Below are 3,106 nucleotides of genomic sequence, written 5' to 3' on the forward strand. Positions count from 1 at the left end.
ATGTTGATCAACTATGTATTGGCTCACTGTAGTGGTTATTCTTGCTAACCACTTTTTTATTTCTGCATTTCATTTGAATAAGTTTCTTAAGGATAGTTTCTGACTTTCATATTGTGGTTTCTTTTAGAGTGTCTTGGCTTTAGTAAATTATTAGTAATATAATAAATATTTGTGTAATCTGCTTTTTTGCTAAGTGCATCTAAACATCTGTGATCTCCTTGAGCCTTCCTGTAACCCTCCAAAGTAGGTTCGTTAGAATTATCCTTTATCTCCGTTACAAAAATCTATAGATATATTGAATTATTTACTGATTTATTTACTAAGATCAAATGATTTCTATGCATTTTCTTGTTAATCCCATGTTTAGGAACTTGCTTTCTTACCTAATTCTCTATTCTTTCTTTCTTCATGTTATATATCAACTTACTGTCGTCAAATTGGAGAAGAACTTTCATTAGCTGTTTCTTGATTATAACCTTGAAACTCATCAACCATTCATTATAGGAAGTTTTCTCTTGCACCCCATTCATAACACTATACTATAATTGTCTCTGCTCATTATTAGTCTGAAATATTCATGATAGCAAGTGTCATGCTTTTAGAGAGCTCTTCATAATTTTTGGAAAATGATAGATGCTTAGTATTTTTTAAATGAATGAATGTTTGCTTTTTTGCTATTATCACTAACCTTATCTGTTGCAGCTCCTCCACCTGAAAACCCTTCTACACAATCTTAGTTTTCAGCTGGCAATATAACAGAAAGGAGGTTATCTTGATCATTAATGTAGTTATTGTGTTCAACTAAGGAAATCTAGGCGATGCTTAATAAAGCAGCATTTTTGCTATCTATTGTGGCATTCATTTCAAATCTCCTAAAACATGGTAGTTTAAAACAATATTTATTATCTAACAGTTTCTGAGTCAGGATTCTGGGATTGGTTTTGTTATAATTCTGGCTCAGCATTACTCGCAAGGATGAAAAGGGTCAGTTAGGGCTACAGTCACGTCGAGTTTTGACCAATAAAAGATTGGCTTACAAGTACACTCATGTATTGTCAGGCCATAGGTCCTAACTGGCTGTTGCCCGGAGACCTCAATTTTTTGCCACATGAGACTCTCCATAGAGTAGCTAATAGTATGTTAGATTACTACCCTCCAGAGTGAGGACTCTAAGAAAAAGAGAAAGATGTACACACAAAAAACAGGGTCTTTTTGTAACCTAATCTCAGAAGTAAAAGCTTATTACCTCTATTGGTTAGAAGTCACTAGTCCTGCCCCTACTCAAAGTGAGGAGATTATATGCATGAGGGAATGGATACTAGAAAGCAGGGATTGCTAGAAGTCATTTAGAGACTGTCTACCACAGAAAAGGATCAGCGACATTTTATGCTTAATTTATTGTCTGTTAATGTTGACTTCTTCAGATTACATAAACAATGATCAAGGCATAACTTACATTTTAATACTCTTTTGTAATATCCTATTTTATAGACCATTTTTTAAAACATAGATTCTAGATTTTTGTGGACTTAACATATTGATCATAAGTAATAGATATAAAAAGACCAAACACCTGCTCACCTTTGATTTTTTGGATCACAATTTTTGTGATGTTTGGGTTTACATTGGGTTACCATTTATTTTCCCTTGTATTTGTCAGCACTAAGCTAGGAGCTGCCATTACCATGCCTACAGAGAACATAGGAAATGTCAAAGGGAGACCAGAAATAGTATTTTTATATTCTCTTATAAAAGGAGACTTTGATATTTACAGAGAAGTCCCACCTCCACTGCCCCATTGAGTCTATAAAGTCTGAGGATCAGCTCATTCAGTTTGACCCACTTGGCACTAGAGGTAATAAGTACATGTCATAAATTCATGTATGTGTTTTTATAACTACACTTGCTTTCACTTTATTTAGTCATTTATTTATTTTTGCAAATTCCTGTTTCTGAGAGTAAGTGCAGACATATAATGATCCTTTGAGCTAAAAGTATAGTGAGCCTCAATTTTTCACTAAATGAGACCTCCTCGACAATCTTTTTAGTACTCTATAGAAAAACACAAGGTAGCAACCAAAAGTAATGTTTGAGAGCTTCCAGAAAACAGAATATAAAAGTCTTTTGTCTTATCCTTTATTTTTATTCCACCCCCAATACCCAGACCTGCTTACTAAAGTGATTAATTTGACATTGCAAAATTTTTTTTCTGTGATAAAGTCCAAAATGTACCATAATTATAGAGAAAAGGAAATCATGGGTAAATAGTTAAAATTAAAAAGGGAGACAACAATTATGGGTTTTTGGAGCCATATAAAAATAATTAGTGGATATTTTGTAGTCTTAAGAAGAATTTGGAAAACAGAAAAATCATTAGTTGTTTATATGTATAATTAACAGATTCTTGTAAAATTTTTGAATACAGTTTGGCTTCCTCAATTTCTACTGTATTTTTCTTTAAATACCTTAGTTACATAGACTGTAGTTAAGTTTCCACCTAGCCATAGGCAAAGAAAATTATATTGACTGCAAGGGAATACGTGTAGGGTTACAAAAATTTGAGCAATGAGAATTCAGCTTCCAGTAATTGTTGAGTAATTTGGTCAGGATAAGCCTCACATAGATACAAATTATGAAGTTCAGACAAAACATTATTTTTTTTTAAATTAATAGAACTGTAGTTTCACCCAAAGTAAAGATAAGCTAGAAAGCAATCCACTCCAACTAAAGATGGAAGTGTCATTGGGTGATATTTGAATACCTGTAACTTTGGGCCTGACAGGTGGCAAAATTGAAAATTTACTTTTTACTGGTTGCACATGTTAGAAAATAGTAGGTTGTCAGATCAGCTGGGAAATCCATAAATTAGTTCAGCCTTTGTGAAAGACAGTTTGGCAATTCCTCAAAGAACTTGAAACAGAACTACCATTCTACCCAGCAATCCCATTATTGAGTATATATAACCAAAGGAATGCAAATCATTCTACCATAAAGACAAATGTACGTGAATATTCACTGCAGCACCATTCACAATAGCAAAGACATGGAATCAACCTAGACGTCCATCAATGGTGGAATGGACAAAGAAAATGCAGTACACATACAA

The sequence above is a fragment of the Homo sapiens genome, chromosome 11 (genome assembly GCF_000001405.40).
Source record: "Homo sapiens chromosome 11, GRCh38.p14 Primary Assembly".
Taxonomy (NCBI): domain Eukaryota; kingdom Metazoa; phylum Chordata; class Mammalia; order Primates; family Hominidae; genus Homo; species Homo sapiens.